Below are 26,214 nucleotides of genomic sequence, written 5' to 3'. Positions count from 1 at the left end.
AAAGTCCTTCCTTGACTATTCTGTTATAGGGTGGCTTCAAACTCTCTCGGCCAAGAACTGTGATTTTAAAGCTAACTTTCTGGGACCGGGTGCGGTGGCTCACGCCTGCAATCCCAGCACTTTGGGAGGCTGAGGCGGGCGGATCATGAGGTCAGGAGATCGAGACCATTCTGGCCAGCACAATGAAACCCCGTATCTACTAAAAATACAAAAAAAAAAATAGCCGGACATGGTGGCGGGTGCCTGTAGTCCCAGCTACTTGGGAGGCTGAGGCAGGAGAATGGCGTGAACCTGGGAGGCAGAGCTTACAGTGAGTGGAGATCGCGCCACTGCATTCCAGCCTGGGCAACAGAGAGAGACTCCGTCTCAAAAAAAAAAAAAAAAAAAAAAAAAGCTAACTTTTCTTTTGGATGTTTTAATGGGTTCTTCAGGGACTCTCACTGGGAACATTCTGCTCTTCTTTATTAATGTGGTTGATTCAGTTTCTTCCAGCTTTGGCTGAGTCTCTCTCAGTCCCTGTTTTCCAAAGCCCTCCCTATTGGCCTCAGATGCTCCTCTTGGGAAGAATTTAAATTAGTTCCACGCCACCTTGTGCCCTCAAATCCATCAGAACACTCATGCAACCTTTACCTCCAACAACAGGCCATCCAGTACAGCCAAGCCTCCTTCAGTTTTCTGCCAGAGGCTCTCGGGTGAAAGTCAAACACATAAATACCAGTCTGTTATTTGCCTCTGTCCACAGAGGACACTGATCAAGCACTTACAATCTTCCAGTGAAACCCCTATTGAGGTGAAGGGGAGCATCGCCCCTCTTTTGGAATGATGGAATTCACAGCAAGGCTCTCTCTTAAAGAATCCTTCTCATAGATCTGCTTTCTGTCTAGTAACTTAAGCCTTTTATGTCCTCAAAGTGAGTAAGAAGACTAAGGTCTAGAACTGTTTATATCTGCTTTGACATTTCTGGAATAGGATCTGTCTCACAATTCACTTTGGTATCTGATACACATCTCCTTGGAGTCTGGGTGAAATGTTCATTTTCAATCCTATTGCATTTGCAACTGGCTTCTATGCCTAACATATGTAGTAGTTCCACTAAGCAAGGATAATCTTCAAAGCACTATATTCAGTGTTCTATATTTTTCTTTTCTTCTTTATCCTTCTTGACTTCTTGGTAGCATTTGACATTTTTGATGATTCCCTCCTTGAAATTCTCTCCCCTTGACCCTTCATAGTGTCTTGCTGTCTTGGTCTTTTGCCTGTCCCCCTTTGAATACTCTTAAGCTCCTTTCAGGTTTGCTTTTCTGTCATATATCCCTTAATAATTGTTCCCTAAGATTCATTCATGTTTTTAAACTTAATTACTCTCTATTCCTAGCCAAGTTCATCTACTTTAATGGCTTTAGCAATGATGGTTCTGGTAGACAGTGATGGTGACAAATGGCAACCAGATGGTATGCAATAAGCAAAGCCTTTGAAGGATGTATAATTTTCCCAAATTTACAATTAAGGAAATTAAGGCTTGGAGATGATAAATAATTTGTTCAAGGCCACACAGATAGTATTAAAGGCAGAGGTCAAATCCAAGTTTGTCTTTGTTTGACAATATATCCTTAATCTTTAAATGTACCCCCTTTGAGGTATACATCTCTAACCCTGACTCCTCTCAGGAGCTCCAGAACCACATTTCCAACTTTCTCTTATGAACTTCCCTATGACTATTCCACAGCCACCTGAAATTCAACACATCCCACAACTGAACTCATCATCTACCTGGTCAGCTTCATTTCTTGTTCTGTGTTTCCTGGATGAGCTCATGGCATCAGCATTCTCAACACCAAGGTTGCAAAACATGGAGTCGTCTTTTACTCACCCCTCACTTTTACTCCCCATAGCCCATCTGTCCCCCTCCTTTCCAATGCTACTGCCATTATCTTAGGTCAGTTCCTCATCATCTCCCATTTAGACTCATGAAGATGCTTGAACTTTCCATCCTTGTTGCAGTTTTTCATCTCTCCACACCATGTTTGAACCCGATTAATCCTCCTGAATTGACTTACCTAGCCCTCCACTGCCTACAGACTCCTTGGCATGCTATTCTAGGGCAGTTGTAGTCTGACTGGGTTATATCTTTCTAGCTGTTCTCACCCTTTATTCCTCCTCTGCCCTCCAACCACAGTATTATTTGTTGGTCTCCCAAAAGCTATTTATTTTTGAAATATCTGCTTTTGCTCATATTGCCTCATTCATGTGGAATGCTCTTTTTCCTCTTCTCCTTCCTCACCCACCAAACTCCATCTTGTCCTTTGAGGTTCAAGTCAAACATCACCATCCTTGTAAAGCCTTTCTCCATCTACTTGGTTTCAATCAGTTACTGATTTCTCATTCTTTTTCCAGCTCTTTGCTCTTTATTATACCATTGTTGTTCATTCTGCTGTGTGTTCTGGGATTTTTTTTTAAAATGCATCTAGCTTGTGAATAATAATCACGTTTAATTATCAGGAAACCTCTGCAGTGTTGCTTTACAATAATGAAAGCGATGTTAGGAGAAGTTGAGAAACTGCCCAAGGTCGCTGTATTAATCAGGATTCTCAACAGAAACAGAACCAATAGGATACACAAACACAGACACACACACAGACATACTGATATGGTTTGGTTCTGTGTCCCCACCCAAATCTCATCTTGAATTGCACTCCCATAATTCCCACATGTTGTGGGAGGGACCCAGTGAGAGATAATTGAATCGTGGGTGCAGTTTCCCCAATACTGCTCTCATGGCAATGAATAAGTCTCATAAGATCTGATGGTTTTACCAGGGGTTTCTGCTTTTGCGTCTTCTTCACTCTCTCTTTGCCTGCTGCCTTCCATGTAAGACATTACTTGCTCCTCCTTGCCTTCTGCCATGATTGTGAGGCTTCCCCAGCGATGTGGAACTGTAAGTCCAATTAAACCTCTTTCTTTTGTAAATTGCCCAGTCTCGGGTATATCTTCATCAGCACATGAAAACAGACTAATACAGTAAATTGGTACCAGTAGAGTGGGGTGCTGCTAAGAAGATACCCAAAAATGTGGAAGCAGCTTTGAAATTGGGTAACAGGCAGAGGTTGGAACAGTTTGGAGAGCTCAGAAGACAGGAAAATGTGGGAAAGTTTGGTGATAGCGATATGGACAATAACGTCCAGGCTGAGGTGGTCTCAGATGTAGATGAGGAACTTTTTATGAACTGGAGCAAAGGTAATCTTGTTATGTTTTAGCAGAGACTGACAGCATTTTCCCCCTGACCTAGAGATTTACAGAGCTTTGAACTTGAGAGAGATGATTTAGGGTATCTGGCAGAAGAAATTTCTAAGCATCAAAGCATTCAAGAGGTGACTCAGGGGCTGTTAAAAGCACTTAAAAGGGAAACAGAGCATAAAAGTTTGAAAAATTTGCAGCTTGACAATGTGATAGAAAAGGAACTATCATTTTCTGAGGAGAAATTCAAGCCAGCTGCAGAAATTTGCATAAGTAACGAGCAGCCAAATTTTCATTCCCAAGACAATGGGGAAAATGTCTCCAGGGCATGTCAGAGGTCTTTACAGCAGCCCCTCCCATCACAAGCCTGGAGGCCTAGGAGGAAAAAGGGGTTTTGTGGCCTGGGCCCAGGGTCCCTGAGCTGTGTGCAGCCTAGGGACTTGGTGCCCTGTGTCCCAGCCACTCTAGCCATGGCTAAAAGGGGTAATGTAGAGCTCAGGCTGTGGCTTCAGATGGTGCAAGCCCCAAGTCTTGGCAGCTTCCACATGGTGTTGAGCCTGCGGGTGCACATAAGTCAAGAATTGGGGTTTGGGAACTTCTGCCGAGATGTCAGAGGGTGTATGGAAATGCCTGGATGCCCAGGCACAAGTTTACTGCAGGAGCAGGGCTCTCATGGAGAACCTCTGCTAGGGCAATGCAGAAGGGAAATGTGGGGTCAGAGCCCTCACACAGAGTCCTTACTGTGGCACTGCTTAGTGGAGCTGTGAGAAGAGGGCCACCGTCCTCCAGGCCCCAGAATGGTGGTAGATCTGCCGACAGCTTGCACCATGCACCTGGAAAAGCCGCAGACACTCAATGCCAGTCTGTGAAAGCAGCTGGGAGGGAAGCTGTACCTTGCAAAGCCACAGGGCCAGAGCTGCCGAAAACCATGGGAACCCACCTCTTGCATCAGCATGGCCTGGATGTGAGACATGAAGTCAAAGGAGATCATTTTGGAGCTTTAAGATTTGACTGTCCCACTGGATTTTGGACTTGCATAGGCCCTCTTGCCCCTCTGTTTTGGCCAATTTCTCCCATTTGGAATTGTTGTATTTACCCAGTGCCCGTACCCCCATTGTATCTAGGAAGTAACTAACTTACTTTTGATTTTACAGGCTCATAGGTAGAAGGGACTTGCCTTGTCTCAGATGAGACTTTGGACTGTGGACTTTTGAGTTAAGGCTGAAATGAGTTAAGACTTTGGGGGACTGTTGGGAAGGCATGATTGGTTTTGAAATGTGAGGACATGAGATTTGGCAGGGGCCAAGTGCAGAAAGATAGGGTTTGGCCCTGTGTCCCCACCCAAATCTCATCTTCAATTGTACTCCCATAATTCCTACATGTTGTGGGAGGGACCTGCTGGTTGGTAGTTGAGTCATGGGGGAGTTTTCCCACATACTGTTCTCATGGTAGTGAATAAGTTGCATGAGATCTGATGCTTTTGTTGGGGATTTCCACTTTTGCATCTTCCTCACTCTCTCTTTGCCTGCTGCCATCCATATAAGACGTTACTTGCTCCTCCTTGCCTTCTGCCATGATTGTGAGGCTTCCCCAGCCATGTGGAACTGTAAAGTCCAATTAAACCTCTTTCTTTTGTAAATTGCCCAGTCTCACGTATATCTTTATCAACAGTGTGAACATGGACTAATACACATACACACACAGAAATAGACGAAAGATATACTTATAAGGAAATGGCTTGTGTTATTATGGAGGCTGAGAAGTCCCACAACCTGTGGTTTATAAGCTGGTGACCCAGGAAAGCCAGTGTTACAGTTCAGTCTGAGAATAAGGACCTGAGACCTGGAGGAGCCAATGATGAAAGTCCCAGTCCAAGGTCAGGAGAAGATGAAATCAGATGTTCCAGCTCAAGCAGTGAGACAGAAGGAAAAAGGTAAATTTCTCCTTCATCTACCTTTTGTTCTGTTCAGGCTTTCGTGGATTGGATGAGGCCTACCTACGTTGGAGAGGGTAGTCTACCTTATGGAGTCCACTGATTCTAATGCTAATTTCACCCAGAAGCATCCTCACAGACACACCCCAAAATAATGTTTAATCTGGGCACCCTGTGGCGCATTCAATTTGACACATAAAATTAACCATCACAGTTACATACCCAGTGGGTAACAGAGTTGGAATTAAAACTGAGGATCCTGGACACTTTGTACTTTATCTTACTTTATTGTAAGTGCCTTGAGATTGGTCCTGTGTATCATTAAAACATATATCCCACAGTACATATCAGGGTACCATGAATGTAGTAACAGCTCAGGAAATATTAGCTGAATTATTAGATGCAGAAGGAATCTACTCCATCTGTCAATCATCAGATGCTGAGGACTATAGCCTGGTACTTCCCAAAAGCTTCTTTTCCAGACAAAGTTTCCTCAGCTGTTTCTTTTAAGACTACCCCACTATCCTGGTTGCACTTCTCTTGATATCCAATACTAGATATTGATCAGCAATATCCTCCCTAAAATGGCACCTAGAACAGAACATAGTATTCCTTGGGGGCTTCAAAGAGCATTGAGAATATAAACTTATTTGATAGAGGCAACAAACTTGTCCAAATACAGCCTAAGCATGATTAAGGTTTCTTTTAACAATTGCCAAACCATGCAGGCTCATGGTTAGCTTTTGGCCAGCTGAACTCTCTGGGGCTTTCTGACGTGATGTCAAGCCAGCTTCTACTTGTTTAATTGAATATTTGAACCTCCTTGTAGTGCTTTAATTGTATTCATGCCAGATAGCATCTTATTAATTTTAGTCATTAATTCTGGCCATTTAAGAACTTTAAGCATCCAAATTCTGCTTGAGGATAAATAATAGCAGAGAGTTGAAAAGAGGTCTGATTTCCAGGCCCTTGTTTTTCCCAACTGAGTTACGCTGCTAGAGGCCTGCCTAGCCAAAGACCAACAGCATAGCTGCCTGGAAACTCTGATAAAATGAAAACAAATGAAAAGGTATGCTAACACTCACATTTCCTTGTGGGAAACAACGTAAGGGAGCCTCAGATTCAATGCCTAGCTTTGTCTGGGTGATTGTCTGCAGCTGGTTAACAAACAGTTAAAAGATAAACGTAAACACATTAAAATGTTAAAGAGTTTATTTAAACAGACAGCAATTCATGAATTGGGCAGCACCAAACCAAAAGCTCTTTGGCCTCCAACAGAGTGACATGAGAAGAGGCTTTTATAAGGTGAACATTGACTCAAGGCAAAGAAAATGTTTGACTCATTGAAGTGGAGCAGTATCCTTATTTAGGTTATTCTAGTGGAAAGTCCCTGGTTAAAGATTGGTTAGCAGTTTCTGATGGGTTATGCTTAAGTTTCATTTTACCTTTCACACTGAGTTGTATTTCAGCTTGCTTATGTAGGAAGCCAAGATGCTGGAATCATCTCAGTCTAATGGGGTCCCAATTAATTTCTTTTGTTTTTGCTTTGTTTTTTTTGTTTTTGTTTGTTTTTGTTTGTTTGTTTGTTTGAGATGGAGTCTTGCTCTATCACCCAGGCTGGAGTGCAGTGACATGATCTCAGCTCACTGCAACCTCCTCTCCTGGGTTCAAACGATTCTTCTGCCTCAGTCTCTTGAGTAGCTGGGACTACCAGTGTGCACCACCATGCCTGGCTAATCCAATTAATTTCTTTTTAACAAGTCCTACAGAGGAAGACAACAGATTGTTTTGTCCCTTACACTGACCCACACATACCCCTGAGTACAGGAGGGAACTTCAGGACTTTCCTTTCAGTGTGGGTCCACAGGGCATAGGAACTTATGTTTTTGTTCCTATTTGAAATATGCCCATTTGTTTTCCCACACCAAACATGTACTAGTTAAGAGCCTACTGCATGTCAAGTATTCTTGGGTTTAAACAAAAACGTTCTGGAAAGTTAAATATCTACTTCAGGGTTTAAACAAAAATGTTCTGGAAAGTTAAATATCTACTTCAGGAAAGCAGATGAAGTGAAAATCCCTGTGGAAAATAGTATATGTGATGTGAAGGTGATTTTAAAATCTAGCTTCAAAATTGGGTAATAATTTGATACATGTGTATATAGGCTGTCTTTATAGCTTTTTATTTTTGTAAGTGTTCTAAATGACTAAAATATAATAAGATACTGATACTCTATGGCTCTTCACTACCTGAAGCTAAGTTTTTCTCTCTTAACACCTCTGGAAAATAAACACATAGATAAGCTTTTAGTAAAAAAAAAAAAAAGAAAAAAAATGATTGTGTGGGTGACATCTTCATTTTTCAATAGGCTGAATCACTGTGAAATCATGAGTCTCACTTTTCCTGAAGACCTAAAACAGATATGAAAGGAAGTGTGGTTCTCTAAGTTCATATCACTCCTAGTCAAATAATCAGAGGACACAGCTGAAGAAAAGTGGCAGTGCTGTCAGGAAGTGCCAGCAAATGGACAAGAAGAATCCATACATGTTTGCTTAGAGTAGGGGAATGAGGAAAGGCAAATCTTTGCCAGCAGAGCAGGATGAAACTAGCATCATCTTGCTCAAAGATAAAAATCAGCCTCTATGTTTAGTTATGAAAGCACTCCAGGGCCAACTGAGCCAGTGATTGCCTTTTGTCCACTAAAGGACAGCCTAACAATATGGCAGTGGGGACATCCCACAAATCTGACCACAGAGCTCCCTGCCCAACTATTGAGAACCGAGGTTATAAAGCTTTTGAATTTATTAGCTCTGGAGAAAGAAAAATCTGCTTTTATAGATTTGCCCCTCAACTTTAAAGTTAACATAGCCAAATTTATGTTTTCATACCTTTTTTTATTTGTTTGTTTCACACTTGACAGCCTTTCAACAGAATTTTCCTGAGAATACCATTAGAAGTTAGAAGATTAGTATAAGCTTTTTAAAAAGTGTTTAGAACTTTGGGAGGCCGAGGCAGGTGGATCACGGGGTCAGGAGATCAAGACCATCCTGGTTAACATGGTGAAACCCCATCTCTACTAAAAATACAAGAAATTAGCCAGGCGTGGTGGTGGGCGCCTGTAGTCCCAGCTACTTGGGAGGCTGAGGCAGGAGAATGGCATGAACCTGGGAGGCGGAGCTTGCAGTGAGCTGAGATCATGCCACTGCACTCCAGTCTGGGTGACAGAGTGAGACTCTGTCTCAAAAAATAAAGTGTATAGAAAAGTGAGCTGCTTCTTGCTCAAGTGAGATATAAAATGTCACCATATGCTATGGGGTTCCCAAATATGAAAATTAGCATAGCTCAATATACTACCCACAAGGGCTTATAGACAATTAACATGAATTCAATTTATTATATTGCAGGAGCCTGATCTTATATGTGTATACATGCATAGAGGTATAGATTTGGCAAGATTCAACTAATAGTGAGTGAATATCTACAATGGGCAGGCACTGCTCTTAGCACTAGGCATATCACAGTGAACTAAAGAGAGAAAAATTCTTGCCCACATAGAGCTTACATCTTATCAGAGGAATGCATTTAACATACAAAATCTCATATGCAAATTACTTAGTGTATCGGAAGGTAAGTGCCATGAAGAAGAATGAAATAGGGAAGGGAGAAAGGGAGTAAATGGAGAGTGGGTGGTGTGGGGAGGCTGCAGGGGGCAAGACTTCAGGAAGCAGTGACATTTGAGCAAAGACTTGAGGGGTAATGGAGCCAGCCATGCAGGACCCAGAAGCAAGAATCATCCCCGGGCAGAGGGAGCAGTTAGTGCAGAGGGCCTGAGGTGAGAGGGTGCCTGACCTGTCCTCATGCACAGCTCAGTAGTGGCAGGCAGGCCGCAGTGCTGAGGGCAGTTCCAACACCAACTACCAGGAGTCGGCCCAGACTTCATAGGTTAAGGGCACCATCCCCACCAAGGCTGCCCACGCTTCAGGACCAGCCATAGATTTAGGAGTCCCCAGGCCACCCACACTTCTGACCAACTGGCTACAAATTCAGGGATTCCCACAGCTCCCTCGAATTCAATAGTTTGCTAGAACAACTTACAGAACCCAGGAAAGCACTATCTTTATGATTACAGTTTCATTACAAAGCCTACAGACTAGGGCTAGCCAGTTGAAGCGACAGACAGGGGTAAGGTCTGGGAGAGGCCCATAAGTGGAGCTTGCAGGTCCTCTCCTTGTGGGATCAGGACACGTCACCCTCTCAGCACACTGATGTGTTCATCAAGCAGGAGGCTCACTCAGCTGCTAGCGTCCAGAGTCTTTACCAGGGTTTGGTTATGTAGGCATGGGTGATTACGTCATAGGCCCTGTGATTGGAACTGAGTCTCCAGAGGTCAGGCTGATATCACATGAGTCAAAGCCCTAACCCTCTAATCACATGGTTGACCTTTCTGGTGTGATTGGCCCCCATCCTGAGTCATCTCATTAGCATAAACTTGGTGTCATCCAAAGGACCCAACATAGTGTTATCACTTGGGAATTTCCAAGGGTTTAGAAGCTCCCTGCCAGGAACCTGGGAAGAAAACCAGACACATGTTTTATTATACAGCATGGAAGCTGTCAAGATCTGGGGGAGGATATCCACGCTAATTCTGTAATGAGAATAATGCTGAACACTTATAATAAGGAGAAATCAAACGGTGTAACAAAAACAATGAACTTATCAGAGACTTTGGATCTTTGCAAACAGAGAAAGGCAAAATGACTAGCTCCCAGCTCAGGACAGGGAGGCTGATCACTCCCTTCTCAAGAGTCTGATTTCTGCATAAAGGTCATAGAAATGTTTTGACAACTGTGTACACAGCCAGCTTTTAGTTAATTAGCTCTTAGCCATTGAGAAGGATGGACTTATGGCATGATTCATCTAAAAATATGTATAATGCAAAATCTCTTTCATTTGCTTGTAGAGTAGACTTTATATTTCACACAATGTATTATTTCCTTCAGACAGATAATTTGGAAACTGGATTACTTTTGCTCCATAAAATTCCTAATTGTTGGAGTTGAAAGAACCTTAAGGAATTTCTAGTTCAGTTCTTTCATTTCACAATATGAGGAAGCCAAAGCCCAGAGGGATTACGTGAGGGCCCAAAGTCAACTAGCAGGTTAGTGTCACAGCTGAGGCCTGAAGCATCTGACTTCCAAAAGCTGCTGACTTCCAGTCTAGGGCTCATTCCATTATGTGAAGTTGCACCATTCAGTCAGTACATCAGCATCAGCCTAAAATGTGCCCTTGGAAGAGCACCAGCTCTGGAGATGGGGGTCATGGGTCCCACCAACTCCTGCCCTTCTCACCTGTGTGACCCTGGACAAATTACTTAACCTCTCTGAGTTAAGGTCCACAGTAAAAGAGAGACAAAAGTAGTACCAATCACAAAAGATTGTCATGAGGATCAAAAGAGATGATGTAGGTGAAAACCATGTTGCAAGGCTGTAATATAATGGACAAATATTACTACTTGGTGATATTATTTTTCAGTTCTAAGAAACTGTCATCTCTTGATTAAAATGGAGCAAATTTGAGATCTTTAGTGTGAACTATTTAACAAACATTTATCTGAACAATATGCTAGTGAATGTGGGGGATGCTAGCTTGTGGTGAAACTCCCAGGAAGAGGCCATCCACAGTCAGCAGCAATGCTTAGCAAACTCAGATTGGAAAATGGTACAAGGGCTGCTTGACAATCCAAAGCAGAAAGCTTAGAAATTCCAGCATGTGGCGCACTGTTGAGTGGAATAAGACTCCTGAGAGGTCCCTGACAATAAGACTACATTTGCAGCTGGGCACGGTGGCTTACGCCTGTAATCCCAGCACTTTGGGAGGCCTAAGAGGGCGGATCACTTGAGGTCAGGAGTTTGAGACCAGCCTGGCCAACATGGCGAAACCCATCTCTACTAAACATGCAAAAATTAGCCGGGCATGGTGGCACATGCCTGTAGTCCCAGTTGCCCAGGAGGCTGAGGCAGGAGAATCGCTTGAACCTGGGCGGCAGACATTGCAGTGAGCCAAGATCGTGCCACTGCACTCCAGCCTGGGCGACAAAGTGAGACTCTGTCTCAGGAAAAAAAAAAAAAAAGATTACATTTGCAAATATTTCTTCCCTTCTGGCCAAGAGACTGTTAATATGTGTAACTCTCACCCCTAGCTCTGGACACCTAGTTTTGTATACAAACTGCAAACTACGGGTTTAAGTAAAGCATATAGGTCTTGAGATTTCAAGCATGGGAAACACTAACAGAATTACACTGCATATCTTGGATGTGTAGTCATATTTTCTGTGGTATCTCCTTGCTTTGTTCTCTGCAGAGTGAATGAAGAGTATGCACGTGTATAATTAGAGTCCGTATATGTAAACTGATCAGCCAGCAAATAGGTCAGAATGGTGAGATCTATCCAAAATAAGAATAAAAATAAAAACAACAACCAAACACACAAAAGGTAGTTCTTGACTCAAAGATAATAAAATTAACATAATATGCTGTTTATCAAAAAATGCACTGAAAATGGACATGAGTAACTTAAAACACATTAAAATGGAATAAGACTTTTTGTTAACCTATTTTGTAGCCCAAGAAAGGCATTCTATCAAACTGATTGATATCATTATTTTTAAAATGCTCTTAAGAGATTTTTCTGTATTTCGACTGATCCTAGGCTAGCTAATATATGGCATCGTTTCTGCAGCTTTGCCTTCACGTGGTGAGAACATTAGCATATTTTATATCGTCTTTTAAATGTGCTGCTGCTAATTATATAATTTCTCATGTTTGGTTTGTAGCCAGCATCAAAACTCTGAATTATTTAGAGTGATGACAATTCTCTTGCCTGACTACCTCTTCTCTAGCAGTTTGCAAAGGAGTCTTGACCCAAGATGCCCGTAGCAGGTAGACTTGGAAGAATTCTAACTAGCTTCTCCTTTGGCCGCTCCTCTGCCCAATAGGTTTCCAAAGACGACAGGCCAATCTGTAGTAGATGTCTATAAGTTTGCAAATGTATCAGAGCCAGGAAACTTTTATTCTAAAATCATTTGCTCACCTTTGAATTTTGGTGGTGAATTATTAGCCAGTAAGTGCTCTTGTAGTGGATGGTACTAAAAAGAGCTTGTCTAAATTTAAGGTCAGCAGCCTTTTTCTGGAAAAAGCAAGATAGTGCATATTTTAGCCTTCTTGGGCCATATGGTCTCTGTTGCAACTACTCAGCTCTACTATTCTCATGTGAAAGCAGCCATAGATGATAGGTAAACATGTACAGGTAGCTGTATTCTTATAAAGCATTATTCATAAGAACAGGCAATGGGCCAGGTTTGGCTTTCAGGCTATAGTTAGCTGAACTTTGGTCAGAGCCACTGATTTTTAGTTTTCTGGTGAATATGCTCCTTCATGGGAATTTAATGAGAGGTATGGACCCTACTCCAGAAAAATAAATATTCATGTGCAGAATACTAAGAATACTAAGCCTTCCATTTCTTTTTTATTTTTATTTTTTAAGACAGGGTCTTGCTCTGTCACCCAGGCTGGAGTGCAGTGGCACGATCTCGGCTCACTACAACCTTCACCTTGGGTTCAAGCGATTCTCCTGCCTCAGCCTCCTGAGTAGCTGGGACTACAGGTGTGTGCCACCATGCCCAGCTAATTGTTTTGTATTTTTAGTAGAGACAGGGTTTCACCATGTTGGACAGACTGATCTCAAACCCCTGACTTCAGGCGATCTGCCTGCCTCAGCCTCCGAAAGTGCTGGGATTACAGGCATGATCCACTGTGCCCGGCCTAAGCCTTCCATTTCAAGACTCATCCATGGATCCAGGACTTGGTCTTGACGGTGACAAGAAAGCCTTTGTAACGGTCTGCTGGATGCTCTGAGACAGCCATTTAAAAAAAAAAAAGATTTGCCCCCACTTATCTCACATCAGAAACTCTGGACTTTAATCAGACTCAGCAGTTCATAGAGACATAGAGGTCTTGAACCAGATGAGGCAGCTGCACACATCAAGGGGCTTTAAAGGGAAGAAGTCATGGACAGGTTGGAAAGGTCAGGGAGAAGTATACTTTGGGGAGCACTGGGGAGAGATGGGAGTCAAAGGCAGTTCGGCTGTGATACTTGAGTAAATGGTGGGTGACGTGGTAATTGGAAACACAGCTGAAATACCCAGATCCTTATGATCCCTCGAACTATTCTGGTCCTTAATGACCTCTCCTTTTGCTAGAAGGGGGTCTAGTTTAGCATGTGCATTTGTTCTGCTTCTTACTGTCTTGTGAGCATCAAAATTCCCTGAATTTATTGTCCTATTCTTGACAGCAAGGGCTAACAGACCCCCAGGGTTTCTTCTGTCCTTCAAGGGCATTCTTCACAAAATTGTCACCCTTCTCGGACAGGTGTGTGGCTTATGTCTAACACGTTAATGCTTAGTAATACAGGAACTGCAGCATATAGAAATAGATAGCAGGGAAATATTTTTCCCTGAGTGGTATTCTGAAATACAACTCAGGGCCATACTTTCTGCTCACAGACAGTGACTCACTGGTGAATCAGGGGCTGAGCCAGCGTGTGTCCTTTATGTTTAGTGCCACCAGATTATCATTTGTCCCATAGCCTCTCTACCCCCCACTGCTCCCTCCTAAGCCTCCTGACACCCACAGAATTGGTTGTCTCCTCCTTAACAATGTTCCCTAGGCCCAGGGCAGCCCACCAAGCCCTGGCCGTGTTCCCAGTGACTCAGATGCCCTTCAACAGCTCAGGGGAAAGGTGGTAAAAAAAAAAAAGAAAGTGAAGCTAGTGGCATCTTGGACTGTGCTCCAGAGCCGGGTTGGAAGTCAAGCTCTCCTCCAAACCAAACTGGAGTGTGACCTTGTCAAGCAGGTCCCTTAGCATCTCACCTGAGTCCTGAGACCCCCGTCTCTAAAGTCCCCATCAGTTGCTTTCATCTGGTCACAATCCTTTATTTCAGTGCACAACCCTGGGAGATCCACCCAGGGGTCTTTCCCGCTGGAGTTCCTGCATTCTTTTCCTGGGTAGTTTACTGGCTGGTCGACCTGTTCACTTTACTTAAGTTCCCAATTGATTCATAGCAGTTACTCCAATTCTTTAAAGTTCTGATAGAGAAGCCAAGTCACTTTCAGGAACAAGGAAAGGTAACCAGGATTGGATCTTCATTTCTGGTGCATCGTTCCCATGAGGCAGCTCTCCGGGCCTCTGCTTCTTCAGATCTAAAGCAGATGGGTGCGCTGAGACAGGCTTCCAGGTGCCCAGGGATGGCAGGGGGCTTAGAAGTCAAACATCTGTTTTAACACCACTTGGGCCACTTGAAGCTGTGTGACTTTGGGAAAGTGTCCAATAGCTTGGAGCCCATTTCTTCACAGGTTTATTGTGAGGATTGAAAACAATAACACATGCCAGGTGTGTGGCTTAGTCTTCAACCAGGATTTATGCCCAATACATAACAATGCCTTTCTATCTCCATCTCCATCCGTTCCCTTCCAGTGCTAAAATTCCAAGCTGTATTAATAATAATGGCAAGTGTGAGGTTTTGTGTTCTTGCAGTTTGCGCAGTGCTTTTTTTGTGTGCTATTGCCTACAATCCTCACAATATTCTTGTTCAGAGATAGAGGTTTTCAGTTACATTGTACAGTCAAAGAAATAGATTCAGAACCTGGGTCTGACTGTCCGCCAATGCTCTATGCTGTATCTAATAGGCAATCAAGACATATTTATTGATCATCTGCTGCATGCGTAGCTCTGAACTTGATGCCGTGTGCAGGGCATGGGTGATATGTGGTCCTTCTCCCCAAGGAATTCATGAGTAATGGGGAAAGGGAAGGTAATAGGTAGAAGATAATTGAAACAAGCTACCATCACCCCCAAGAAATGTTTATTGGGTACAAACTGTGTGCAAAGCTGTGAAATTATAGTACCTATTATTTACATTAAAAAATTTGATTTATTTTTTCAGTCACTTTCTCATAATGATCTTAAGAGAAATAGCAGAGATTGAAAGTGAGCCCTGATTCAACTCAAGTGATGATTTTAAAAAGTAAACAAAAACCGCCCTACCTATATGTTTCAAGGTCAGGACAGGGTTTCTAGCCTTGGTAAGGTTTTTGTTGGATAGAACTTATCTTCATCAATGAGGCTGTATGGAGCACTTAAGGTAGTAGGCACTATGTTTCTCTATTTATTTTTACTTCTACCCAACATATGAAATTCCAAAACTCAGTTTCTAGTCCAGACATCCAGCTGTGTCATTGACACCATTTCCTCCCAGCTCCTGGGGTGGCAACTTTATCTCTGCCCTGTCACCTGGTCTTTTCCCCACCTTACCTGCCCCTTCCCACAGTCATCAGCCCCATAATATATCTTGCCAAATGTCACCAGGTCCTTCTTTCATTCTCTGAGTTACTGTGGGAGATTCTTTAGCGCTCTTCATTCCTCTCTTCATTCAGTCAACAAATTTTCATTTGTTTCACTTTGGCCACACACCTTTCTGGGTGCTGCTGCCATTTACATAAGACAGACATGGTCTTTGCCTCATGGAACCTTAAGGTCTCATGTGAGATAGGGACAGGACCTTAAAGGAATAATTATAGGAATGATGTGTACTATGAAAAAGGACATACAAGGGGCTGTGAGACCATGCATTGTGGATCTAAGGTTTGGGTTTTAGGAAAGTCTTCTCTGAGGAAGTCGAATTTCTGCTGAAACCTGAAGGAGTGATAGATGTTAGCTGGTGCCCGAGGTGGGGTCTGATGCTCCATGGGTATGTAGGGGTGAGAGTGGGGTGTTGTGGCCGGGCAGGTGGGATGAGAGAAGAATGCTTTCAGGTACAGGGAACACACACTTGAATACCAGCCAGCTGAGGAACTGGGAAATCCAGGTGGCTAGAGTAGAAGGAGGGAGAGAAAAAGTGGTAGGAAACAGGGTTGGGGCCAGGCTGTGGTAAACCTTCTAAAGCCATTTTACGGATTTGGGATATCCTGGGAATAATAGGATGTGGTCCCAGCAGGGTATGACGTGATCTGACTTGCATTTTCAAAAGATCTCTTTGAAAGCAGCTGAGAATGGATTGGAGGGACCCAGGGGTAAATGCAGGGCAACCAGTTAGGTCGCTTCAAAATAGTCATTGTGGAGGTGTTGGTGGCCTGCTGTGGGCTGTTGGCCGTGGGGGGCAGGGAGCAGTGGACAGAATTAGGAAACATGGAATGGCAGGAATGAGTGGCCACGGTGACTTACTGAATGCAGGGAGTGAGGAGAGGAATAGGTGAGGGACCACGGGCAATTTCCTTGCTGGGGGCCACATCGGGTGGTGACAGGGAGAAGCAATTGGGAAGGAGATACACGCAGCTGTGTATGTATGGGGGATGCTGCTTAGAGATGACCCCAGAGCAGGTGTCCCTCCTCCCGGCACCTCCCACCCCGGTTCCTTCTGCACCCAGCCTGCAGATTCATGGCCCTCAATCTCCGGTTTAGAAAACTTTCGATGAACCAGTGTGTGTAGGACCAAGAACACCCTTCTTGTCCTCCATGGTCTCAACCTTGTCTCTCATTGGCCCCATCCGTAACACTCATTGGTTTCCTCCACAACCCCCGTGCATTTTCCTTCACTTGGCTCATATTCCCTTCAATTCCTGCTTCAAGCCTAACTCCTTGAGAATACACTTACCAACTGCCCTAGCCTGTTCAAGCTTTTGGTTTTGCTATTCATTTTACACTTGAAACACACTACTGAGCTTTCTCGTTATCTTCTCCCTTTATAGACTCTGCCTCACTGATTTACTTAGAAAACCCAATTAGGATATTGTCATACACTTCACAGCTAGTCCCTTCCGTGATGCTATGTGCATTGCTATGCTCCATACGTGTCAAGGCAAGGACACGTGAAGGGCAGGTCTGTGGAGTGGAAGGTGAGACAGATGAATGAGGCTGGAAAGTCTCATGGAAGGTTGAAGATGTGGACATAGTTGCAGATACGAGTAGAGAGATGTCCATATACATTTATATCAGGAGAAGGAATTTATCATTTATTTGGTATATAATAGTGGAGGAAGAACATTGTGAAGTTTGAAACACGAGGATCACACATGGAATGTAGTAATTTAAGAAAATTAATCTGGCAGTGGCATAAAGGTGGACTTGAAGGGGAAAATTGCTACTGATTAATGTATTTATTTTATTTGCCGGCTGTGTCGTAAGCACTTTACATGGGTGAATTTATATAATTCTCACAACCCCCCCACCCCCCCGCAAGAGTGCTACTATCATTATCCTCATTGTACAGAGGAAGAAGATGAGGTCTAAAGAAGGTAAACATTTTTTTCTTTTTTTTAATGAAAAAAAATTTTTTTTGAGAGGGGTGGGGTCTCACTGTGTTGCCCAGGCTAATCTCAAACTCCTGGCCTCAAGCAATCCTCCTGCCTCAGCCTCCTAAAGTGCTGGAATTATAGGCATGAGCCACCGCTCCCAGCCAAGGTAAACTTTTAATTGTTGAAACCAGGTTGCAAATCCAGCCTGCCTAACCATTATGCTGTAGTGTCTTCTGGAAAAAGAGAGGAGTCTGGGAGAGGGCTATGGTCAAACTGTTCAGCGTTCTCTGGGGTTCCAAGAAGATCCTCAGAGTTTGCAGCCAAAATAAAAACCCTCTCCTTCAGCCGGAGCAGCCCCACTGGCATCTGTGTAAACATTTGGGCTCTGCATAAGATTTAAGAAACAATCCCCTGTTTAAAATGTTTGAAACCACTGGATGCAAGGGTTTGTGTGGTTTGGTTTGTTGAAGATGCTATAGAATTCACACCACACACTGCCTTAGACGCTACAAGCCTGAAGAAGTCTTCCTGAGGCAAAGGAATAGATATTTGTTCTTCCCAAAGATGGGAATCTGCTAGCTCCAGAATGAAAAAAAAATGCACTTTTAAAAAACTTAATTAGTACCAAAACTTGTTTTAAAACTCTTGGGGGCCGAGTGTGGTGGCTGATGGCTGTAATCCCAGCACTTTGGGAGGCTGAGGCAGGCGGATCACTTGAGGTCAGGAGTTCGAGACCAGCCTGGCCAACCTTGTCTCTACTAAAAGTACAAAAGTTAGCCAAGCATGGTGGCGCATGCCTGTAACCACAGCTACCCAGAAGGCTGAGGCAGGAGAATTGCTTGAACTGGGAAGCAGAGGTTGCAGTGAGCTGGGAGATTGCACCACTGCACTCCAGCCTGGGCAGCAGACAGAGTGAGTGAGACTCCGTTTCCAAAAAAAAAAAAAAAAACACACTCAGAAGGAAGATTTCTTTTTGGCCTTTAACAAATTATAAGACAATTAATTAAATAGGAGCACTTGTGTTGTTATAGACATTCCCCATTTTCAGGATGCTTTCATAAATCCCTTTATTTGAGCTGTGCAACTATCTGTGAGGTAGATACGGCCAGTCATGATTAGTGCCCATTTTTCTTTGCCAATAATGGGCTTAGGAAGGCTAGGCGATTTCCTGGGGGTTCACTGCTCTGTCTTCAGTACCTCGCACCCAGTAGTTGCTCAACAAATGTTTGTTGAACAGTTGAATGATCGAACAAAGACCATAAGAGTTGGAATCTAAGCCCTTTAAAATCAGGGCTGGTTTTATGATCCCACTCTGTCTTCAATGTGGTGAGAGAGTCCAGTCCATGGAAGCTACTATGCAATAAGTGTCATATGACATTGGAATCAGTTAACTTTTAGTGATTAATGTTTGGAACACTCTCCATGGTCACATAAGCTGAAACACTCTACCCCACATAACTCCCCACTCCTCCACGTTTCGGGTTTGAATCCACACAACCTCACAGATGATCTGTCTGCCGGGTATTACCTATTGCAACCACCTCTGACAAACATATGTTCCTTTTATTACAAACTTTGATGCAATTTATAGAACATATTGTATCGGGATTTGGTGGGAAGAGTACATTTATTCCAAATTTACTCTCTAATGCATTTTAGAAAGAAAAATAAAAATTTGTGTATGCCTTATGAGTCATATGAGGATACGTAGAAAGGATTCATTCTTTTTGCTTGTCACTTGAAATGATCACATCTTAGTATGCCTGTTAAGAATAAGCATTGCCATTTGACTGTAACAGTGTTTAGAGAAGAGAATAGCAGATTAATGGTGGGGTTTGGACATGGTCTCTATTTGTTTTCTCTTCTGTCTGGCTTTCAGGGGCATGAGCTGGCGGCTCTCTGCCCTTGCCCGTGGCTGCCTGAACCTCTGGAATTCTCCCCAAATTCTGAAATGTGTGTCAGGCCAATTGTGCAGTCTCCAGCCCAGCTAGAGAACGCCTCTCCACTGGAGGCCTCCCCGCCCTGCCCCCCGCCACAGGAAATGCTCTGCTGAGCTCTGCCTAAAATATTCCCAGGGTAACTAATGATTTTGAAAATGCCACGTTACCATGGTACTTGAGGCATGGTAGGTGGGGGGCATGCAGCTGGGTTTCGAATTCAGTAGGTATCCAGTTTATAAGCTTTCATTTTCTTTTTGTTTTCAGTTGTTGTTTAATTTATAACATGCCGAGAAGAAAACTGGATCACACAAGGCTTGGCATGCTTTCTCTTTTTCTTTTCTTCCTCCTTGAGGCTTTGTCCTCCACCTCCTAAGTCCCTGCCAGGTGTTCTGTGTTTAGAGGTAGGACGGGATTGCTTGAAAGCTCCCACCTTTGGAGAGCCGGGTGTGCCACAACCTGGCAACCCCCGAAGCATCACTGACCACAGGAAATGCTATTTGAGGGCCCGACAATAGCAAACAAAACCGAACAAAACCCTGCCTCCATCCAGCGTTATTGTTTTAGTTATATGCAATTATAGGGGAGGAAAAATACCTCTTCCTCTCCAATTGTAGATTCATGGCTGAGGCCCCTATAACAAGAGACAGATTAACAAGAGAAAAACATACAAATTTATTTAATATGAGCTTCGTGTGACACGAGAGTTTTCATAAGGAAACAACGACCCATAGAAACAGTTCAACCTGTGTGTTTTTGTGCTAGATTTGATGAAGGGTGGACAGTCATGGAGAAATGTGATAGGGCAAAAAGGGTATGAGTTAAGTGTCATGAACTGGGGGGTTAAGCAAGGCCTGTTTGTTCAGATTCTTCTCTGTGGCCCTGTGTCTTCAGCGATAATGATGCTATTTTCCTCGAGGTAGAAGAAGGCCACCTGTTGAGTGAGGGAGGGTCTTATGATCAGCTTCACTGGAAGGTCAGAAAATCCTTTCTAGGTTTTATGACCTGCTGCAGGAGAGAAGGGAGGTGGAAGGTCTGAGAGGCCTTCCTGCACATGCTGCCTCCTGAATGCCCTCACCTTCCAAGGTGCCGTAGTTAGGACAGCATGTCCTGAACCTTGTCACAATCCCATGAGCATTTTTTAAAGATAGGGATAGATAGATATTCACCATCACATATGTAATATGTATGCATGCATGTGTATCTGTGTGTGTGTATTAAAGTTTCATGTTTTGACCTGCTAAGGAAAGGGTATCTACAGAGACATAGAGGGAGAGAAAAAGGAAGGAGGAGAAAGAGAGAGGGAAATATAAGTGAAGAAAAGAAAGAGATAAAAAGAACAAAGGAGAAGGGCAGGATCAGAAGATGGAAGTTTAAAATGTGTTGCGCCTCTGCTGTATGTTCCTGTTGAAGGCAGGGCTGGGCTTCTTACATGGGGGAAGGAAACCAAGGCTAATTGTAAGGAAGATGGAGAGGGCAGAGGAGGGAGAGGCAGAGGGGGAAGAGAGCTGCCTAGAGGGTCAGAGGGACTGCCTGGAAGTCCCAGATGGTGCTAATCCACTTTGTGTTTCTATAATGTACAGGGCTCTGGGTTGCAGTTACTGGTCACCAGATCCCTTTCAAATGCTCATTTGCTATTTCTGTCCTGAATATAGCTGATCAGTTTCTGTGTTCAAATGCAAACGTTATTTATGGTGCTTATTTGTTATGGGTGTTTTGGTTTCTTTTGCCCATGGGATTCTTAGGGTTTTGCTCCCTGGCATCTTGGAAATCTAGTGTAAGCCTATGCTAACAGGGACCTGAAGATCCTTTTTGCAGAAGGTAAGTGCCTCATCACGCAGAGCCTGAAGGTTAGATTTAGGGTAAGGATTGCATTGACCTGAGACTCACCTTTGACTCCCATCCTTAAAATCAAATTTCCTTGATTTGTTTAATTGTTTTAAAATACTTACTCTTATTCTTCTTTGCAAACGGATGTGTCAGGCTTGAACATTTGAATGAGCTTTGAAAGAAAGCTGCCTCACTTTTTATTTGGTGGCAGCCTACACAGGTTAGTGATCAATCAAAACATAAGTAAAGTAGTAACTCAACATTTCTTTGAATGTTTAGATTACTTACCTTTGCATAGCTCTTAGCCTTTTAAAAAAAATTATTATTCAGACTGAAAATTCAGCTCTGTGTTTTTGTTGGTTTGTTTGTTTTTGAGGTGGGGTCTCAGGGTCACCCAGGCTGGAGTGCAGTGGTGTGATCACAGCTCACTGCAGCCTCAACTTCTGGACTCAAGTTATTCTCCCACCTCAGCCTCCTTAGTAGCTGGGACTACAGGAACCCACCACTACACATAGCTAGTTTTTTGTTTTTCTTTTAGTAGAGAAGAGATCTTGCTATGTTGCCCAGGCTGGTCTCCAACTCCTGAGCTCAAGCGATCCTCCTGCCTTGGTCTCCCAAAGTGCTGGGATTACAGGTGTGTGCCACCACACCCAGCCTAAAACTCATCTTTGAATAGGTAACTCCAGGAGTCAAAAGTAGGGAATATAGTTTGGGGATACACAGCCTTTGCGGCTGGTAACATCAGGGTGCTATGATTTAAAGGGACCCCCTCCGTGTTACAACACTTACTACCCAAGTTATTCTCTTCAGCATGGTTCATAGTATTGACCTAGAACTATTGAGTTTCTGTGACTCTGAAAAAACATAATTTTTTATTTCTTCAATCTGCAAAATAGTGATATGTTCTAAGGATTAACAAATTGCTTCAAATGCCTGCTATGATAGCATTATACTTGAGCTTAACTTATTTTTATGTTTCAGAATTCTCTGAATAGCAGTTAACTTTCTCATGGGAAATTTGGATACATTTAGTAGATTTCAAAGCATAATGCAACAATAAATGTTTCTTTTCAGTATTTATTTGCCCCTTATTGCCTCATAAAACAATTCCTAAAATCATTGGCTCTCTCCAGTGATCTTTTACTCATCTTCAAGTCATCTCCTTCCTCTTTATATTTGATTGAATTATGAGATTTTACTGTTTGCCAGGCCTTCAACTAATTGCCAGGGATAGAATGATGAATAAGCTATGATCTTTGCCTTCAAAAAAACTTCTGTCTTTTCGTGAGATGGTTCATAAACAGCCCAGAATTTGGCAGCCTCAGAAAATATTAGGTTAGTTTCTTTTTTTTTTTTTTTGAGATAGAATCTCACTCTGCCACCCAGGCTGGAGTGCAGTGGTGTGATCACAGCTCACTGCAGCCCTGACCTCTCCAGCTCAAGGGATCATTGTGTCTCAGCCTCCTGAGCAGATGGGACTATAGGCTGTGCCACCATACCTGGCTAATTTTTGTATTTTTAGTAGAGACAGGGTCTTGCCATTTTGCCCAGGCTTGTCTTGAACTCCTGGCCTCAAGTGATCTACCCACGTTGGCCTTCCAAAGTGCTGAGATTCCAGGCATGAGCCACTGTGTCTGGCCTTGGTTAGTTTCAGTTCTCTTTTCAATTAGCAATAATTTTGCTTATATATATATATATATATATACATATATATATATATATATGTATATATATATATATATTTTTTTTTTTTCTGAGATAAGGTCTCCCCTCTGTTGCCCAGGCTGGAGTGCAGTGGCACAATCTCAGCTCACTGCAGCCTCGACCTCTCCAGCTCAAGTGATCCTCCCACCTCAGCCTCTCGAGTAGCTGGGACTATAGGCACATGCCACCATACACAGCTAATATTTGTATTTTTTGTAGAGACGCGTGTCTCACTATGTTGCCCAGGGTGGTCTCTAACTTCTGGGCTCAAGAGATCCTCCTGTTTCGGCCTCCCAAAGTGCTGGGACTACAGGCATGAGCCATCGTGCCCAGCCCTAATATATCTTTTTATTTCCTAAAAATTCGTACCTCTTTCCTATACTAACTGACATAACCAAATTGGAATTAAAATAATGCAGGCTAGAATTTAAGAAAAAATAATCATCTTTCCTGGACAGTGCCCTGCTCAGGTAGACAGCACTTGGTTACCTACCCTTTGCAAGTTTAGTTTTAAACTGCCAAGTTCTAGTCATTGAATTTTTTTTATATATTATGCTTCCGTAACTTCTGTTTTGTCTAGAAGCATGAGCCTTAGTTTCTTTTCAACATTTCTGAAACACTTACACACCCAGTATCAGACTTTTTGCTGGGAAAAAACACTTAGGAACAATGAATAACAAGAATTCGGTTTATTCTGTTTCTGCCTAACATTGTGAGGAGTCTGCATAGTCAGAGTTTTAAGAAAAAAAATGTAATTTAGTGGGAAAATTAAAACTTTGATAGCCAAGGGTATATGCAGATAGCCTTTTCTGTGTATTTCCATTAAAAATAATTTATTTGAGAAAGTGGTTAGGAAGAAAGACATGTACCAAAAAATTTAAATTCTTTACCAAAGGCATAATGGAAGTGCCAAATGTTAAAGAATTGCATTTGAGCATTTGTGGTTGGACATGGTTTCAGGAAAGTATTCATTAAGAAGTGAAGTCAAGAGCACTGGGTATGAATATTGTATGCTAAGGGGAAAATGTATTTTAGGTAGGTGCTGGTGAAAGAATATACCATTATCTTCCTTATCTTTTAAGTATCCAGGCCAGTATCATGGGACCCTGCATTAATAGTGCTTTGGGACTGCACTTGGGTAATATTTTCAGCTGAAACTGAACTAACACAAGGCCCTTTGGGCAGACGATCATCAAAGTCACGTGGCTGTATTCCAGGACCGTTTCACATCAAGCTGCATGGTACAAGACACTGCCCTGGAATAAGTCACATATCTTTGAAGCTCCTTGTGATGCAGGAATTTTCTCACCCCTTGTCAGACTTGCGACGGAGGTGCCCCATTTCTTTGGCCCACCATGCTCAACCTTTTGCAGGAAGGAGCATATGAGTGAGCAAGGGCAGGATCCGGCCAGCTACTCTGGGCGCCAGCAGGAGCAGACTCTCTGTAGGCCCCTCAGCCAGACCAGGTGGGGCTCTCTGCAACCCCCAAGACCCCAGAGGGTGTGTTACAATGCTATCTTAGCTCTGCTGTCCGTGGACAGTGGTGTGTTATCAGCTCAGTGGACTTGCCTCATAGTGTGGGACAGCTGCCCTCTGCCAGTGAGGGCAAAGGGCCACTGTGATAGCTTTTTTTGGGTACTTGCACTCAGTGGGTCCTGAACTCTTGTCTGGTGTCCAAGAAGAATTAGTTACACAGATACTTGAAGGATGGTGGAGGTAGAAAATTTTACTTAGTGATAGAAGTTGCTCTCAGCAGAGAGGGGAGCTGGAGAGGGGTCAGGTTGGGCAGGTAATCTTCCCTGAAGTCCGGTTGTCACTAGCTGGCTCTTCCCTGAAGTTAAGCCGTCTGTCCTCCAAAGTCTAGCTGTCCCACTGAAGTCGAATCATCTTTCTCCAGTCAAGCTGCTTCTCTCTTCTGCCAGCTGAGTCTGGGGTCTTTATAGGCACAGGACTGGGGGTGGGGTGGGCCATAGGTAGTTTTGAAAAAGACAACATTCGATTGGTAAAAAGACATTATTCAGAAAGAACTAATTGGGAGACAGTGGGCAAACAGGAATAGAAGTTCTCATTTTGTGCTGTGGCTTTTTGGCTCAAACATGGGATTTTGCCACGGACCTACCCCTGTCTGCCTACAATTTCTGTGCCTCCTGCCGCTATCACTTGGAGTTGGCCAAGCATTGCCTGAGAGCCCCCTGCATGCCAAACTCTATGCTGAGGACCATGAGGAGGATGCAAAGAATTCAAGGAAGGATTCAGAAAGGGAGGGCCGTGATTGATTGATTGAGCTTTACTGTGGGGCAGGCGCTGTATGAAACATATTCCATTTAATTCTCACAGCCACCCCGAAGGAAGGTACAGTGGTCCTTATTTGCTCACTTGGGAAGCATGGTTGGAGAGATGAGCTACCTCTCCAGGGTCCCACAGCTATGATGGAAGGGCCAAGGGTCCTGGCCACAGGACTCCTAGTATGTGCCCTTACTATGACACCCTGCTCTCTAAACAACAAAACAATCAGCCCACTGCTGGGGCCAGATGCTGTTTTATCCAATCAGCTCTCTGGATCTCTGTATAAGTTAAAGGGTGTATATGGCCTCTTTGCGATGACTGACCACTAAAGTCCTAAACCATTTACTGTCTGGTTATCCTCAGTAACCAGAACAAGAAATTGTTCAGATCCACATCCTAGTAGCAGCTGTACTTCAAAACACAAAGGGCAGCTTAAATTGAGAAATTGTAATGTTCTGGGTGGCAGAGGCAATACTAGTCCTAGAGGTCCGCCTCCTCCTATTTAAGGCATAAATACTACAACAGCAGAGACATCCTAGGGTCTAGACCAGAGTGATGTGGCCCCACATGTCTAGCTGAGCTCCAGCACTAAAGGAAACCTCACAGAAATCCCACCACCTTCTCTCTAACAGGAGATCTGCCACTGTGGCCCCGTGGGTGTCCTGTGGTGGTGGGCAGACAAATATCCCTGGAGAGGTGGGGCCATTGCTTGGAGCAGCAATGGTACAAGTGTTTATCTCTGAAAAGGTCGTTGTTGGTGGTAAAATTTAACAGTTCTTTTTTTTTTTTTTTTGACGGAATCTCGCTCTGTCACCCAGGCTGGAGTGCAGTGGCGCAACCTCTGCTCACTGCAAGCTCTGCCTCCGGGGTTCACGCCATTCTCCTGCCTCAACCTCCCAAGTAGCTTGGACTACAGGCATCCACCATCATGCCTGGCTAGTTT

At 43.5% G+C, this 26,214-nt stretch overlaps 1 protein-coding gene across 6 annotated transcripts in view, besides 2 other annotated features; it reads left to right on the top strand.

Moving 5' to 3' along the window:
* Positions 1-26,214, top strand: part of DCLK1 (doublecortin like kinase 1) — a 363,288-nt gene that overhangs the window by 194,584 nt on the left and 142,490 nt on the right. The window lies entirely within an intron of this gene.
* Positions 13,906-14,898: an enhancer, noted in NCBI's record as "H3K27ac hESC enhancer chr13:36496595-36497587 (GRCh37/hg19 assembly coordinates)". NCBI's record gives its function as "activates a minimal SCP1, AML or CMV promoter by ChIP-STARR-seq in primed H9 embryonic stem cells {active_cell/tissue: H9 hESC(primed)}" and the evidence as "EXISTENCE:reporter gene assay evidence [ECO:0000049][PMID:30033119]".
* Positions 19,866-20,608: an enhancer, noted in NCBI's record as "H3K27ac-H3K4me1 hESC enhancer chr13:36490885-36491627 (GRCh37/hg19 assembly coordinates)". NCBI's record gives its function as "activates a minimal SCP1, AML or CMV promoter by ChIP-STARR-seq in naive H9 embryonic stem cells {active_cell/tissue: H9 hESC(naive)}" and the evidence as "EXISTENCE:reporter gene assay evidence [ECO:0000049][PMID:30033119]".

Source organism: Homo sapiens, chromosome 13, assembly GCF_000001405.40.
Source record: "Homo sapiens chromosome 13, GRCh38.p14 Primary Assembly".
Taxonomy (NCBI): Eukaryota; Metazoa; Chordata; class Mammalia; order Primates; family Hominidae; genus Homo; species Homo sapiens.
The sequence above is the reverse complement of the archived record's forward strand: the minus strand, read 5'-3'. Positions and strand labels throughout refer to the sequence as shown.